This window comes from Homo sapiens, chromosome 17 (assembly GCF_000001405.40).
Source record: "Homo sapiens chromosome 17, GRCh38.p14 Primary Assembly".
Lineage (NCBI taxonomy): Eukaryota > Metazoa > Chordata > Mammalia > Primates > Hominidae > Homo > Homo sapiens.
The window spans coordinates 12,940,680-12,958,334 of record NC_000017.11 but is presented as its reverse complement, the minus strand read 5'-3'; the positions used below and the strand labels follow the sequence as shown (position 1 = coordinate 12,958,334).

General features: G+C 45.3%; 1 protein-coding gene across 10 annotated transcripts in view; it reads right to left on the bottom strand.

Moving 5' to 3' along the window:
• The window catches only part of ARHGAP44 (Rho GTPase activating protein 44), a 202,146-nt gene that overhangs the window by 33,309 nt on the left and 151,182 nt on the right, over window positions 1–17,655 (bottom strand). For all 10 annotated transcript variants that reach the window (NR_135569.2, NM_001321167.2, NM_014859.6 and 7 more), the window contains 8 exons: window positions 17,211–17,279; window positions 14,666–14,747; window positions 14,139–14,266; window positions 9,084–9,195; window positions 8,605–8,686; window positions 5,754–5,834; window positions 2,355–2,468; window positions 1,589–1,680 (listed from right to left, as the gene is read on the bottom strand). Coding sequence is in view for 9 of the 10 variants with exons in the window: in NM_001321167.2 (NP_001308096.1) it covers window positions 1,589–1,680; window positions 2,355–2,468; window positions 5,754–5,834; window positions 8,605–8,686; window positions 9,084–9,195; window positions 14,139–14,266; window positions 14,666–14,747; window positions 17,211–17,279 (760 nt within the window). In the remaining variant the exon portion in view is untranslated. The remainder of the gene's footprint in view (window positions 1–1,588; window positions 1,681–2,354; window positions 2,469–5,753; window positions 5,835–8,604; window positions 8,687–9,083; window positions 9,196–14,138; window positions 14,267–14,665; window positions 14,748–17,210; window positions 17,280–17,655) is intronic.

The following is a 17,655-nucleotide window of genomic DNA, read 5'->3' as shown; positions in this document are numbered from 1 at the left end:
GAGAAACACTAGCCAATGGAATTAGTCAAGAAAATAAAATAAGAGGCAATATTAATATTTATAGATGATGACACTGCCTTTCTGGAAAACCATAGAGAATAAATTCAAGATATTAGAAATATAGATTTCATTAAAGTTGTTTTTTGGCTGTCAAAGAGATATACAGAAGTACTCATCCCATCCTTTCCCAGTCAATGAGAATAAATTAGCTCTGCACAATTCTGTCTGTGTGCAGTGGTAATGAATTAGCTCAGCCGCAGAACCTATAGGATTACTGTCTTGACTCCTACCTCCTTTATTTCTTTATCTTGATTTCCCACACCCACCCAACTCTGTTATCAACGCAACTCTTAGGGAGTCAGCAGTTCGACCTTAAAACACATGAAGCAAAAGAAAGACAATCAAACTTCTTCAATGTTAGAACAGCATTAATTGATTTAATTGATTACCTCTAATGGGCAGAGCATAGAATTACTAACCTATCCTCACATGCCTTAACAGCTGTTGCAGCACAGCAAAAAGCATTCCCTTAATGTCTACCAAACATACGGTACAGTACCAATTATTATGTTTTTAAGCAGATGCCGAATTTAGTGTAACAACTGCTATCTCTTCAAAGCTGTCACCATTGAGAGTCATCTACTTATGGAGTGAGGCTTCTGTGGCTCAGAACATCTCTGAAACTCCCTCTTAGGAAGTTATCTTCAGAGCCTAATTTTGAAGCAGGCATTAAAAAAAAGAATCTCATTGCCTTTGAGATTGAGCCCCACCTTCACATGCTGAGGGACAACTCAAAGGGCACAACCTAGGGTAGCAAAAGGTGGGTCTGTAAGGCATCCAGGTGATCTGCAAGTCCTGAATAAAAGTCCCCATCCATCTCAGGAACCTGTCTCCCCCTCTGCATCTACAAAGTGAAGGATTTGGGGCAGAGGATCTTTCCTTCCTGCACAAGCATTCTAAGATTTGCAGATTTGAAGAAACTATGGTATGGATATTAGACCAGTAAAATCCACGGACATGGTTAGTACAGACAGTGGACACCTTCAGGCCAGAGTGTCCCTTGAAATAGAGATTACAGGCCGGGCACAGTGGCTGACGCCTGTAATCCCAGCACTTTGGGAGGATGAGGCAGGCAGATCACCTGAGGTCAGGAGTTCAAGACCAGCCTGAGCGACATGGAGAAACCCCGTCTCTACTAAAAATACAAAATTAGTCGGGCGTGGTGGTGCATGCCTGTAATCCCAGCTACTCAGTGGGTAGAGGGGGTGAGGCAGGAGAATTGCTTGAACCTAGGAGGCAGAGGATGCGATGAGCCGGATCGGACCATTGCAATCCAGCCTGGGCAACAAGAGCAAAACTCCATCTCAAAAAATATAGAGATTACAGAACAGGAAGCTGCCATGACTCCACCCTGATACGTGTGTGCCTTTGTGCATGTCTGCATGCGTGTGTGTGTGTGTGTGTGTGTTTATAGGGGAATCAAAAAAAAAAGCCTGTGGGCAGTGGTACTTGGCTTCAAAGGCTCAGAACTCGCAGTGATACTCCTGTTCCCTGCCTCTTGCCCCCACACCTAGGTGCTGTCACCTACCCCCAGGGAAGAACCAGTCTGCATGCTGGATGATAGGTTCAATGATCCCAACAATTTGCAGCGACACTGTGGTCATCATCTCTGTAATGTTCCTGTAAGCAGAGAGCAGAGGCAAACAGGGTGGAGTTAGCAGCTGAGGCAAGCTTTGAGGCCCATGGTCCTCTGGCTGCAGAGCCCAGGAAGGGGCCCTGGACTGGAACCCCACAGACAGAGGTTTGAGAGCAGACTTTCTCTTGGGAGGGAATCTTCACCTTTCTGAACTTCTCTTTTTCCATCTGCAGAATGGAGATAAACCCGAGGCACATGAACAATCCCTACAAAGCCACTTTCAACGTGAGGTGTGATTCTCCTCCCTCCCGTCCCTGTGATTCTCATCCTCTTTCCAACACTGCTATCTCTGGAGACAGCCTTCTATCCCTCCGAATCCTGAGGCTGGGATGTGTCCTCTTATGACAGAGTCTAAGAGCTTGCCTGACCTGTGCCACCATGTCCTACGCCCTCCTTTCCCCTCATCCCAATGCTGACTTAATTAGCTCAGAGAAGACCCTGACTTCAGACCTGTAGCTCTGGGACCATCAACAAAAAGAAAGATCTGCAGAATTCTGTGCCTCCTCCTCAGCCTAAAAGAGGAGCAGGCCAACAAAGAAATAGGGTTTGGAAAATACATGAGGCTGGTGCTCAGCTAGGCCCCAGCTGTCCTGCCCACCCTGCTCAGGCCCTGCAGTCCCACCTGATCACCCACATTACTTCTCCGCCCTGTACTTACCCTTCTGCTTGTGGCCATAGGAGGTTGGGTCCTAAAACAATTGCCATATTACTGGGAGTCATCTTGTTTACATCTTGATATTCTGACAGCTTGGATAAAAATTTTATCAAGTATCTAAAAGAAAATTAGAAGGGCCAGGTTTAACCAAGGCTCAACACCAGCCATGTCCCCCGGGGACTGGACAGAAGCTTCTCTCATGTCACATATCTCACTGACTAGGAGACTCGTGCACCTGCAATGTAATGAACATGCGTCACGTGTCAGGAAATGGAAATTCTGCATCCTCTTTCCAAAAACAGGCAGGCTCAGATCTCACTGGGTCAGGTGTCGACATCTGCTTCAACTAACACTGGCCAGAAAGTCTCCTTCTTTCCTTCTGACTCAGTATATAATGACCTGAAGTGCCTCACTTTTTACAAACCCCATTACTTCTTGCCATGTTCCCTGTGTGCAGGAGTGATAAGCAGTATGTCTAAGTACCATTGGCAGGAACATCTACATGCTAGGGGTGGTGTTTCTTGGAGTTACCCTCAGTTGGGTGCTCTGGAAAGATCTAATAAAGAAAAAGTCCAACACAGACTTAGTATATGATCCAGCAATTCTACTCCTAGGGATAATACCCAAAAGAAAGCTGTCCACACACAAATTTGTACATGAATGTTCATGGAATCATAATTATTAATAATAGCCGAAGGGTGGAAATGACCCAAATGTCCATAAAGGGATGAACCAATAAATTAAATGTGGTATGTCCATATAATGAAATATTATTCATCCATAAAAAGGAATGAAGTGTTGGGACATCCTGCAACATGGATACTCCTGAAAACATTATGCTACGTGAAAGAAGCCAGACACAACAGGCCACATATTATAGTATTCCACTTATATGAAATGCCTAGAATAGGCAGATCTATGGAGCCAGAAAGTACATTAGTGGTTGCTTAGGGGCATGGTTGGGGAAAATAAGGAGTGCTTATCGGAAGGGGATTTCTTTTTTGGGGTAAGGGAAATGTTCTAAAATGAGACACCAGTAATAGTTGCAAAACTATATGAACACACTAAAACCTACTACACTGCACATGTTAAAAAGGTTCAATGGTATGAAAATCATAGCTTAATAAAGTTATTTTATAAAAAGAGCCAACAAAGAAGCTATATAGAAATAAAACAAATACAATGAAGAAGCTACGTGCAAATTCAAAAAAAACAGCTCTGGCAAACCACACTAAAAATCTGCCAGAACCTGACAAGAGGCCCCAGGACCCCGAGAAGACATGTTTTCTCTGGCCTCTCAGTTACAATAGGCTGTGGTCCTAACCCCATTTTGCTTGGATCATAGTGAAGCGACTCATTCGGGATTTTCTGCTCACCTTCGTGAGCCCGGTAGAAAGTCCAGCAGACTCATGTCCTACCATGTAATCACTTAGCTGTCACTGTGACAACTCCACGCACGGCCTCTCCTGGCCATGCCCCACCCTCCAAGAGGCCACACAGGTCTGGACCAGGATGTGGGACCTAAGCTGAGAGCTTAGGCCAACCCATGGGCTGGCCAGCGGCCTAGGGCTGTGGTCAGCAACATGCCATAAGTTGAAACCACCCGATTCCCGCTCTTCGGATCTGATTTGTAATATACGTACAATTTACTACTTTAGCCATTTTTAGACGTACAATTTGGTGGCATTAAGTACATTCACAGTGTTATGAACCTGTCACCACCATCCGTTTCCTGAATGTTTTCATCTTCCCTAGCTAAACCTTGTCCCGATTAAACAATAATCTCAGCCAGGCGCCGTGGCTCATGCCTGTAATCTCAGGGCTTTGGGAGGCCGAGGCGGGCGGATCACCTGTGGCCAGGAGTTTGAGACCAGCCTGGCTAACATGGTGAAACCCCGTCTCTACTAAAAAAAAAAAAAAACACAAAAATTAGCCAGGCATGGTGGCGCATGCACATAGTCCCAGCTACTCAGGAGGCTGAGGCAGGAGAATCACTCGAATCCCAGGTGGTGGGGGTTGCAGTGAGCCGAGATTGCACCACTGGACTCCAGCCTGGGAGATAGAGTGAGACTCTGTCTCAAGAAAAACAAAACAAAACAAAAAACAATAATCTCCTGTCTCCTAGCCCCTGGCAACCATCCCCTAGCCCTGGCAACCACCATCCCATTTTGTTTCTCTATGAGTTTGACCACTCCAGGTACTTCATATAAGTGGAATCATATACTGCATTTGTCCTTTTGTGTTTGGCTTCTTTCACATAGCATAACGTCCTCAAGGTTCATCCACGTGATGACAAGAATCAGAATGGCATCCGTTACATGAACATACCACATTTTGTTTATCCACTTATCTGTAGACGGACATTTGGCTTTTCACCTTTTACCTACCATGAACACTGCTGCTACGAATACGAGTGTGAAAATATTAAGTCCCTGCTTTCGATTCTTTTAGGTACATACCCAGAAGTGGAATTGCTGGATCCTACAGTAATTCTGTGTTTAATTGTTTGAGGAACTGCCATCCCATCATTCTGGGGATTTTTAACAGGAAAACAGAAATAACCAGGCAGATGGCAGTAGGTGCTGATGCTGAAAATCTGCCTCCTAAGAAGCTGGGAGGAAAGGCGGCAGGGCCGGGATGGGTGCTGGCAAGACAAAGCGGTAAAGAAGCAGAGTGTGAAGCAGCAGGAGCCAGGCGTGGAGAAGGATCTGCAGCGCGCCGGAAGTGGAAGCTCGGGTGGTAGCAAGAAAAGCGAGAGGCAGACGTGGAACACAGCTAGGGCTCGGGAATGGGGGAGCACTGGAGAACACGCTCCCTCATCTCTCCTTCCTGTGAACTTGCTCAAGGACACTTCTGCCTCCCCCAGCTCCCATGTAGGTCAGCTTCTCCCAGGTGTCCACCAACACCTACCTGTCTTTACCACAAATCCCCAATATCTTAAGATAGCTTGCATTCATCTTTGCTCCTTTAACTGAATTAGCCAATGGTTCGCTTCTTTGAGTCCATTTCCTTATCTAAAAAATGGCAACAATTATTCCTGCCTTCCCTCACAGGGTGGCTTGGGACCTGTGGTGGTGCCACCACACACAGAGACCACGCGTGGTGGTGGGTGCCTATAGCTACTCGGGAGGCTGAGGCAGGAGAATGGTGTGAACCTGGGAGGCGGAGCTTGCAGTGAGCTGAGATCATCCCACTGTACTCCAGCCTGGGCGACACAGTGAGACTCTGTCTCAAAAAAAAAAAAAAAAAAAAAAAAAAAAAGAGACCATGCATGTTAATAATACCTTGGACATCATAAAATGCTATGCATGGTAGTTACCATGACTTTTACCCGGGCAGTTGTATCTCTGAGGCTTACATAAGCCCAAGCCATGTGTCTATACTTGGTAAGTATCCACTTACCGGATGTTGTTGTGATTGGCCTTGGGCAACTTTTCACAAGCATTCCATAGAGCCTGAAGCTTCTTGTCTTGCTCCTGGACACTGAGAAATTGATAGGAAAGGTCATTGGTTGAGCACGAATCAATAAAGTCTCATCGGAAATCATATTAACCAATCATTGTAATATTTGATACCAACCACTGTAACTGACCATATCAGCAAGCTAGTATTTAAAAATTTGGTTGTTATTATTTACCCCTCTATGTTCTCCTTCTGTCTTGTCCTGTGCGATTTTAACAGTGCTTCCTCCACACACCTCAGAGGCCCCAAGTGAATATGTGCCAGAGCCAGAGACCTGCTCTGGTGTGGCAGGGCTATGGGGCTGCAGGAGGACACAGATGCCAGTCAGGGAGCTCAGCCCATGGGCTATTCTGAGCCTGTATTCTGCATGACTCCAGCGTGGAAACAGATCATGTAAATGGCTTGCAAGGATGTGTCCTTTTTGAGTTTCCGGCTATCTTGCACTGTCCTGGTAATCCCTAACTTCAGCCCTTGCTTCCCTGGCTCCTCCTGTGGCCCCCGGATGTCCCATCTTATGGCAGATCTGTCTGTGTCCTGCTGAGTTGGCCTGAAGTGCAATGTCTTATTAAGGTTAGTGTTGGCCTCTGATGAAACTCAGCTTCATCAGAGGTTCATAGGTTATCAACCCAATAGCCTTGGGAGCTTTGAATCACAGAACCCAGCCCAATTCAATCGAAGTCTCTGAAAAAAGGGTTCACGCATTAGTATCTTTAAAAAGCTTCCCAGGACATAATGATGCACACAGAGGGTTGGAAATCACTGTTCTAGGCAAAATTACTTGGTTTAGATGAAGTGATCTTAGGTACTACATGCATGTCATCCAGTGGTAGAAACAGGTTCTTGTTTTTCCCTGGTTCAAAGACACTGACCTCTTTGAGTCATCTGGATCATTTCTATTTCTTAATGGAGACCCACATTTGCAAATGAAGTGGGAACAGGAGTATCTCTGGATAGGTCCTGAAGCACTAAGCTATCCTGCCTTTATCTAACTGTATATCATCAAGATCACTTATATATCCAATAAATAATAAGAGTGACAGTTTCCATCAAAGGATATGTTCTCACTTGGCTTCATCCCTAGGACCACATTCTTGTCCTAGAGAGGCAAAAAGTGCTGTGGTTAAGTGTAAAGGCCCTGAAACCGGACTCCTTGGATTCAAGTTCCCCTTCTGCCACTTATTAGCCAGCAGGTAACCTGTAGTTACATACCTGTTCAATACCTCAAATTCCTCAAATGTAAAATAGGAGAAACAGCACACCCCACTTCATAGGGTTCTTGTCAAAATTACAGGAGTTAAAAACACACAATGAGCTTAAAACAATGTCAAGTCTCTAATAAGCACTCAATAAATGGTAACGTTGTAATTATTAATGTCATGAAACCCAGCACTCCCTTTTCACAATGAGATAAAAGAGAACCATATATTCAGCCAGCCTTTTGAAGTGCATAATCTCCATTCTGCTTTGGAAATAAAATACCATTATGCAACTTGATTGGAGTTGGCTTTTCTCACTCTACACATTTGAGCCTGGCTTCCCTTCCAGGTCAGGTGGGTCTCTTTCAGGCCCAGTTCTTCAAAAAGTAGAAGGAGCAGCATCAGACACATATTTCACTGTTGTTCCTGACAGGTAATGAGAAACAACACCTGTTCCTCATGGTGTTGTTGAGAAACACACCAACAACTAAATCCTATGACTAGAAATCTCTAGAAATCATTTCCTTTCACAGGCCCCTGGCTAAGGTGGCTATTTGCTCTAGTCCTGCTCTCAGAAAACATTCTTCTCCCTCCTTCATCTCCCACCTAGACTATCTCTACCCTCGTCTCCATCATCTTTGTGCTGGTAGCAATTCTCCCACCCTGCTGTTGTGTGGGGGTCCATTCGCTCAGTAAAAGTACATTCCTCCAAACAATACTATTTACTTAAGACAGCTCTTACCTATGCCCAAAAGAACATACAATGCCATCCTAATGCACGCATAACCGAGGAAATAAGCCAGGACTCAAAAACCATGCGTGGGAGCCAGAGCATGCATCAGGGCTGGGCTAGTGGCTTTGCCTGCTCCATGCAGCTGTACTCTTCCCGACACACTGCTACAGCCCTGCGCCTGGCTTTGGGCTGCGGCCTCTCCCTTGGGCGCATCTTCAGGAGGGGAGAGAGAGGCTGCTGCTGCCCACGTGTCATGACACGTGACCTCCCTTTAAGTTCATTATTACTTATTGTTAAAATATATTCAGCTATTATAGATGAGGGTAAAGACTCTATGCCCACTCACTTGTCCTACTTTTCTGGCCAGGAGGAATCACTGCTGTCAGCCTACGTGAGCCCTTCCAGAACTTTCTTTTATACACTTACACACAAATATAGGTCCTTTTAAAATTCTATTGTTTTAAGTGTGCTGGGTGTTTGTTTTCGTTTTTATAACAATAGAATGTCACAGGAGTCCTTGTTAACTTCCTTTCATTATCTATTTATGTTAGCATGAATAACTCTACCTATTTTTTAATTGTTCCAGAGTGTGCGATGGTACAGACACTCCACAGTTTACTTAGCCACTTCCCAACCCCCTTCTCCAATGAATCTTTAGTGACTTCTAGGCTTCTGCTATCTCAGATAATGCTACCATCAATATCCCTGGACCTGCCTCCTTGGGCAAATGTATAAGCACTCCTTCATGGCAGAGATCAAGAAACGGGGTTGCGAGATCATAGGTTACATGCTTCTATAATTTCAGCACATACTCCCAAATAAACTGTAACTCACAGGACATTCCAAAACAAGGGGTACTCACTTGGAAGCCTGGATCCACTCATCATAGAGTTCAAAGGTCATAAGAGGTTCTGGCAACTCTCGGAGGTAAGATTTCAAAGCTCCTAGGCATGAATGAAATATTGGTTGTGAACTGTTATGATGTGGCAGAGGCAAGACCCACCAGCCAGCACTGCCTATGTGGGTTCCATCTGGGGATGGGCCTCCTGACCACCATGTCAACAGCAAATGGTAGCTTCCTATGGAAATGGGTATGAGGCTCTGACAGGGGACCTGGCCCCTCTTTCTTCCCACAATTACCTCGTCTTCCCTTGGCATGCGGGGAGGCCTTCCTTCAAGGGGCCAGAGCACCCAGCCCTGAAACTGGGCACTGAGTGGACACATCTGAAGTGCTTTGGGCAGCCACTGACTTGAGTGTCCTGGACTTGTAGCCACACAGCCTCCCCTCTACCCCTTCCCTGTGAGCCTCCATGGCACACAGGAGCGCTGAGAGGTGCCCACCTGCAATTGCGTGGGGGTCTGCCGAGTACTCCTGCACATCCACCACGCAGCAGTCCAGGGCCGCTTTCAGCTTCTTCAGTTTGGAGGCAGAGGGGGCTACTCGGAAGAGTCCCTACCAACAGGACAGAGGGTCAGCGCACAGCAACTCCAAGGTACAACATCAAAGCGCAGAGACCCCGCAACTGCCTGCTTCTTTTCTCCAAAACCTCTTACATGCATTTGCCCAACACCATCTCCCAATCCCCCAGTTGCCTGCTTTCTCAATGTCTCCCTCTTGGCACATAAGCAACTTCAGAGCAGGAACTGGCTTTACCCACTGTTGTGTCCCCACAGCCTCAGGCAGGGGTGGCTCATCACACTGGCTCAGTAACTATTTACTGGATAAATGAATCTTGGGCACTTAGACATCTTGTTCTTGTACGTGTAAGATAAATCTTGGAGAAGAATTCGACTAAGACCTGGTCAGTCTGGTAAGTTGAATGTGAGGAGGTCTACAGGGGGTGTGTGTGTGTGTGTGTGTGTGTGTGTATGTGTGTTGGGAGGAACCAGGGCTATACTTTTTATTTTTGTTTATTTGTTTTTTAGACAGAGTCTGGCTCGGTTGCCTGGGCTGGAGTGCAGCGGCCCGATCTTGACTCAGTGCAACCTCTGCCTCCCGGGTTCAAGCAATTCTCGTGTTCAGTCTCCCAAGTAGCTGGGATTACAGGCACCCGCCACCATGTCCAGCTAATTTTTTGTATTTTTAGAAGAGATGGGGTTTCGCCATGTTGGCCAGGCTGGTCTTGAACTCCTGACCTCAAGTGATCCACCTGCCTCAGCCTCCCAAAGTGCTGGGATTACAGGCGTGAGCCACAGCACCCGGCCTACACTTTTAGAATCAAATAAAGTCTATGCCTTCAGGGGAAGGGCAGACTGGGTGGGGTGGTTTGTGAGGTAGCCTCCTTCCATTCCTCTGCATTCCGTTCTCAAGAGTTATTTTCAAATCACTGCCACTTCTTCCAAGTGAACCACTGCACCTTAGAGAGTGAAAGGGAGCTATGAAGCGAAAGAGAAGAGGAGAGGGCTGTGTGGAAGAGAAGATGAATGCAGGTCAGAGTTGGAAAGAAACCTCCACGTCACAGGTAAGTGACACACGGGTTAAAGACCTATCGGTTTCTGTTTCATCTTAGTTCCTTGCATTCTGTAATGCAACCCACAGGCTGATAAACAAGCAGGCAGAACAGTCCTTACTCCTTTAATCTTTTATGGCCATATAGACTTCCAATTTCCTTTAGAAAAAGTGTTCCTACTCTGGAATATCAAGCTTATGCCTTGCTAGGATCACTAACTCCCTTCTCAATATAGGGTACATCAGATACACACATGTGCAAAGCTCTTTGGGCATATATGTGAGGAAGCTACATGAACATGTTTGGATGAGTGTATCAGTAAGGCTGCTACGACAAAGACAGCCAACTGCAGAATACAGGAAAGGAGTCACTCAGATCTTCATAAAACCATGCCCTTGCCATGCAAGAAGAGCCAATAGGATTTGGTGATGGAAAATGCCAAAGAGAAGGAAACAGAGCTGTCACAGATAAGCCTTTAGATTTTTGATTGTGTAACTGAGCAAAGCATAAAAACTAGGTGGAGGAGGGGATTGTTATATTAGCTAATGAGTCCTGTTTCGGGGGTGTTAGAGGAAAGTGTGCATGGAAATGTTGAAGGATGGCAGTGAGCACGAGTGAAGCCTTTTCACAGGGGGAGTCCTCACTGAGGTTGAGGAGCACCTCTAGCAGGGCAGGGTGGGGACCATGGTGCCAAACAGAGGACCCTGATGCCCCTAGGTCAGAGGCCAGAGGGGACCATGGTGCTAAACAGAGAACCCTGATGCCCCTGTGGTCAGAGGCCAGAGGGAACCAGAGGGCCAAAGGAACTAGAAGTTTCGAGGATGGTTACATTAGGAACACCAGGCAGCACTGTGGCCAAGGAGGCTGGCAGTAAGTCATCGGATTTGGCAATTTGGGGGTTGCTGGGGATCCCGGAGGACAGTTTTAGCCCAGTGACAGGGGCGAAGCAACACCAGAGGAAGATCTGTAGGTGGTGGCAAAGATGCAGGAGCTGCAAATGTTGAGAGCTATTTTAAGAAATTGGATAGCATAAAAAACAAAACCAAAGAGATTGGGAAGACATATGAGGCTGTGGTTGTGTTGAAAAGAGATATATTGTTTTAGGCTAGGGGAAACTTGAACCTATTTGTTACTAAAAGTAAAGAGCTGACACAAAACAGGGAAAAAATGCAAGTGACAGAGCGAGGTCTGTTGAGGAATGGAGTAGCCCAGAAAGGGCAGAGACGGGAGCTGGGAGATGTCAAAGGTACTGCTCTTCAAAAACCAGTTTATGTTGATTAGATATTTGATGATTTTAATAGGTTACTGTTACTTTTTGGGGAATATTAATACTTTTTTTTTTTAGATAGAGTCTCACTCTGTTGCCCAGGCTGGAGTGCAGTGGCGTGATCTCGGCTCATTGCAACCTCCGCTTCCCCAGTTCAAGCCATTCTCCTGCCTCAGCCTCCTGAGTAGCTGGGATTACAGATGCGTGTGCCACTATGCCCAGCTAATTTTTGTATTTTTAGTAGAGACGGGGTTTCACCATGTTGGCCAGGCTGGTCTCGAATTCCTAACCTCAGGTGATCTGCCCTCCTCAGCCTCCCAAAGTGTTGGGATTAGAGGTGTGAGCCACCAAGCCCAGCCTATTATATTTTTTAACTAATTTCTTTTTTTTTTTTTTTAGAGAGCATCTCACTATGTTGCCCAGGCTGGTCTTGAACTCCTGGGCTCAAGCGATCCTCCCACCTCAGCCTCCCAAACTGCTGGGATTACAGGTGTGAACTACTGTGCTCAGCCAAAAATTATATTTCAAAACATCCGCTATCTTACAGAGATACATACTTAAGTATTATAAATGAAATGATATAATGTCTAGGTTGTACTTCAAAATATCCAAGGCAGGGGTTTGGGGGCAGGAAATGGAGGCAGAAACGTAACAAGAATGCCCATAAACTGAGTGGTAAGGCTCATTATGTTATCTTTATGTGTTTATGGTTTTCCATAATTTTTTTAAAAATTTCAGGGAAAGAAAAGGTCCAGTTCATCTTCTTCCATGAAACTCTCTCTCAGGGATGGTAGAGACCTTTTCGGTTTTAAATTGAGGCCCAGTGCGGTGGCTCACGCCTATAATCTCAGCACTTTGGGAGGCCGAGGTGGACGGATTACCTGAGGTCAGGAGTTCAAGACCAGCCTGGCCAGCATGCTGAAATTCCATTACAGGCTCTGGGAGCCTGTAATCCCAGTTACTTGGGAGGCTGAAGTAGGAGAATCGCTTGAACCTGGAAGGCAGAGGTTGCAGTGAGCCAAGATCGCACCACTGCACTCCAGCCTGGGCAACAGAGCAAGACCCTGTCTCATAAGCTAAGCTAAGCTAAGCTAAAAAATTTGATAACAAACATGCAAATGCCTGGCATATAAAATGTGTTAAAAATACACATTTATTCCCATTCCTTTTCGAATTTCCAGCATCTAGAACAGGCTGGCCTACAGGAAGCATGCCACATACACCCGCATGCTCACTGGCTTCCTTCTCATCCATAGCCCTTACTTTGTCCCATATAACTTAGTGCTCCCTTAGAGACTTACAGACTGTTCTGGATGAATTAGGCTTAACTGAGAGATGCTAGATTCATCTCCGGCAATAAGTTTATAAGTCTCCTATCTCACTATTTCATACTTTGCTCAATAAAACACGTACCGCATGCCCTAAATAAATACTGATTGGCTAATCAGATCAAAGGAAGACGGAGTAAAGATATTAAAATAGTCTATGGAAGAAACCAAAGATGAGCTCTATCTCCCAGGAAATGATTTACACAGCAATAAAACAACACTTATCAAGAACTTCTTGGGTCAGGTGCAGTGGCTCATGCCTGTAATCCCAGCACTTTGGGAGGCGGAGGTGGGCAGATCACTTGAGGTCAGGAGTTCAAGACTAGCCTGGCCAACATATTGAAACCTCGTCTCTACTAAAAATACAAAAATTAGCCAGGCATGGTGGCACATGCCTGTAAACTCAGCTACTCTGAGGCTGAGGCAGGAGAATCGCTTGAACCCAGGAGGCGGAGGTTGCAGTGAGCCAAGATCCTGCAACTGCACTCCAGCCTGGGTGACAGAGTGAGACTCCATCTCAAAAAGAAAAAAAAAAATTTCTCATAGACATTTTTTACATGTGGCTCTTAAAAAGTACTTTCTAATATATCTATCAATCATATTTTCAGGATCTCTATAAGAGTTGTGATAAAAAAGTTTAAGAGCCTTAACCTTTAAAATTACCTAAAATTAGGTAACTTATTAAGCAAGAGGAAGAGGCAGAAGAAGAGAAGGAAGATGAAGAGGAGGAGAAAGGAGAAGGAGTAGTAATAGCAGCAGGGTCGGGCGCAGTGGCTCACGCCTGTAATCCCAGCACTTTGGGAGGCCATGGCAGGTGGATCACAAGGTCAAGGGATCGAGACCATCCTGGCCAACATGGTGAAACCCCATTGCTACTAAAAAAAAAAAAAAAAAATTAGCTGGGCGTGGTGGCACACGCCTGTAGTCCCAGCTACTTGGGAGGCTGAGGCAGGAGAATCACTTGAACCCAGGAGGCAGAGGTTGCAGTGAACCAAGATCGCGCCACTGCACTCCAGCCTTGTGCCACAGCAAGACTCTGTCTCAAAAGAAAAAAAAAAAATAGCAGAATGCCCAAATTATCCAAACATGTTAAACCAGGGGAAAGAATGACTAGAATATGGCCATCCGTTCCTCATGGCCATCACAATTCTCTCTTCTTGTCAAATGAAGGCTCACGGTAAAAGGCAGGATCAATTTGTGTTCTGCAGAAGATGGGTCTGAGCCACTGTCTTAAGCCATTTGGATTCGTGGGGGCCGGAGTGGAGATGGTACAGGAGAGAGGATCCTGTAAGCTCTGTCTCGTGGAAGAGGAGACCTGCCCGGGGCGGCGTGTGGCTGTGCTCAGACCTACCTCCTCCTGCATCCCACACTCAAGCAGCATGGTCACACACGCCTCGATGGGGAAGGCGATCTCCCGGCCGCTGATGGTGAGGTGCTCCTCCAGCGGCTTCCCGAAGGAAGGCTTCTCTACCCAGGCCTCTGAGGGGAGGAGTGAGAAAGAGTCAGTCAGCTGTTCGCCAAGTTCACTCATGCTGGAATCTCGCTTTCCTTTGTTGTCCAGATTCTCCTAAGATTACCAAAGAGAGGGAGGCCCAATTGAGCCTCCATTCTGTGGTTTTAAGGATGACAGGAGGACTGGAGGAGGGGGTGGGGGATGGCCAGCCAATTGCGTCCAGGGCCACTGGGGTTAATGTTCTATGGGCACCCCTACGCACCCCCGACTCAAGGCACCAGTTTGGAAGTAAGTCCAAAAGGCTCATCTACAGGTGATGCTGTTGGGCAGAGTGTTAGGGCCAACGACATACAAGGAATTCATCTCATCCGGGAAGGCAAGCAGGCACCCCGGCCCTCCCTTCTCCAGGGAAGGCCTGCACTTACCCTGTTGTGCTTTGATCTGAGGCAATACAGCCTGCAATAGTGTCAGGGACTTCCTGTGGTATTCAGCTTGCACTTCTATTAGCTGAGAAGACACAAGGCAAGCATCACCCTTAGTGAGGGGCAAGGACACAGGCTGCCATGGCATGCAAAGCATTTTGCAGAAAGGTGCTTCCACATGCGGAAGGAGGTAGTCACCCATTCCCTCCTCCAATCTACCTAAAATAACGAGCATGCTTCCTCTTTAGCCTCCATAACAACAAAGTCACTACAAGTGGAAACTTGGGAAGCAGGAGAACCAGACAGGAATAGGGGGAGCTCTTCAGAGCTGGAACGTGGCTTAGAGAGCTTGATTTTATCACCACCCTTCTTCCTCTGGCAACCCATCCTCAGTGCAAAAGGCAACAAAGAAAGGGGTAACTGTAGCAAGTGGAAATGGAAAACACATTTAGAAATACATTTACTGAGTCAGGTGTGATGGCTCATGCCTGTAATCCCAGCTACTCAGGAGACTGAGGCTGGAGGATCACTTGAGCCCAGGAATTCAAGACCAGCTTGGGCAACATAGCAAGACCCCATCTCTTAAAATAGAAACAAATTTGTTGAAATAAATATGAAAAATAATTTACTTATGAGATATGTACGACTTAAATGTCATTAACTTGTATACATCTTTTGTTTCTGCAAAGTTAGTCTAACATATAACTGATCAGAAAACTTGTGGCTTGATCTGCAATCTTCTTCAAATACCCTGGAGGTGGGATTGCTTTGGTGAAAATGATGCAGTCCAAAGAACAAATTCCTTCAAAGTATTCTATTTTGACCATCCCATTAATTAAAAGTGGCCAACATGTTGATAAGAGCAGATGAAACTCATAAACACTAGTTACTTCATTTGTTTACTGACTCCTCCTATCCCTTCCCCAAAACTGGGCATGTATAAGGAAAACAGAGGAAATTAATCTGCTTGAAGGCTTGTTGTGGAGGGTGGACACTAATATCCCTAAGTAAAATTAAAGTAAAACTAATACGAACTTTTTTAAAAATCAGAATATTGAAATAAATGGTATCCGAATGACAATTAGGCTGTCTAGTAAAGCTTGGAATGTCAATGAGGTCATCAGTAAAACTCTAACGTCTTTGAGTTTCTAAAATTAAATATTACCTTCATGAATACAACCAATGGAATACACCTGAAAAAATTCTACCACTTTAAAATAAACTTTCCACCAGGGACGGTGGCTCACGCCTATAATCCCAGCACTTTGGGAGGCTGAGGTGAGGTAGCTCACGAGGTCAGGAGTTCCAGACCAGCCTGGCCAACATAGTGAAACCACAACTCTACTAAAAATACAAAAATTAGCTGGGCATGGCGGCATGCGCCTGTAGTCCCAGCTAGTCAGGAGGCTGAGGCAGGAGAATCATCTTAACCCAGGAGGTGGAGGTTGTGGTGAGCTGAGATCACGCCACTGCACTCCAGCCTGGGCAACAGAGCGAGACTCCATCTCAAAAAATAAAAATAAATAAATTAATTAATTAAACTTTCCAAGTTGGAAGTAATGCATATCAACTCCTTTTCCAGTAGAAGGGGCTTCTCTGCATTCTGAACCACTAATGAAATGTTGGAAAATTTCTAACAGCCCACAGTTGTTTGACCATACTTATCAAAGCATTTTAAACTTTGCAGAATTTCTTGATTTTCCTCTCCTTACCTTCCTTCTTTATCATTCCTTTCCTTCCCCGATTATAAATCAAGAGCTTTTAGGTCTTAGCCTTTTATTCCCAACTTTAAAGGCAGGTGAGCATAACTGATTTTTTTTTATTTGAACTTTTTTCTCTTTCGAAGTTTTTTGACTTGCTTTGCATTTACCCTGGTAAACAACCTGAGTCTTAATTATTTGTACCAGTTTATTCAAGTTTAGATGACTCTGATCCTGTTTCTTACTGTCTAAATCACTTTGATTGGTGAGAGGCAGGCCAACAGGCCACATCAATCATCATATACCTATCAGTCACTGCCTTTCATAAAATCTAGATTAAAAAAGAAAATGTGCAGGGGGAAGGAATTGCCTTCCTATTTTTCTCAAGCCCCTTGTTAGCACAGACCACAGTTTCTTAATGTCAGCCCTACTGACATTTTGGACTGGATAATTCATTGGTGTGGGGGCTGTCTTGTGCACTGCAGGATATTTACAAGCATCTCTGGCCTCTGCCCTCTAAATGCCAGTAGCACCTCCCTCCACAACTGTGACAATCAAAAATGTCTCCAGATATTGCCAACTGCCCACCAAGAGAAGGAACAAAATTATTCCTGGCTGAGAATCAGTGGACTGAGTTGCAATAATCCCGAGGGATGGGATTGAGTTTTATTCTAAGGTTTTTGGAGAAATCCATATCAGGAGCATGGCAGGATTTATTTCACTAGTAAAATGGTCAAAGCTCCCACCTTTTTCTATGATGTGATCAATTAAGGGACTCTTAATTCCATGCCCACATTCCCTTCTCCTACGAACAGCCTTTAAGCAATCTCACCTTTCTGGGCACTTACCGTTTGAAAGTAGTTTGCATAGTCAATTTCTTTGGCCACAAAACTGTACATATCAGCTGAGAGCTGGTCCTGTGCAAGGTAAAATATACAACCAAGGTAAAACATAAACCAATGGAGAGTGGCTAATGCATAAGTCAACACATCACGTGAGAAAGAGCCTTAAACACTGCTTAATCTCCTTTTTAATACTTGATATGATACAAACTTTCCATGGGCATTTGCATATTTGTCAACCACAACTCTGAAAAATGCGTAAGTTTGAAAAGAACACCTATGTCAGTCATTTCCCCAGAGATTTTGACATTTGGACCACAGTTAAAGTCAAAGTTGGTGTAGAGGAGTGATGTGCAAATTAGTTCCATCCATCTCTACAGCTTGTGCCCCTATTCTGAAGCAAGCTCCAAGCACACATTGTGCTATTGCTCTTTTGATAATGCCATTTCTT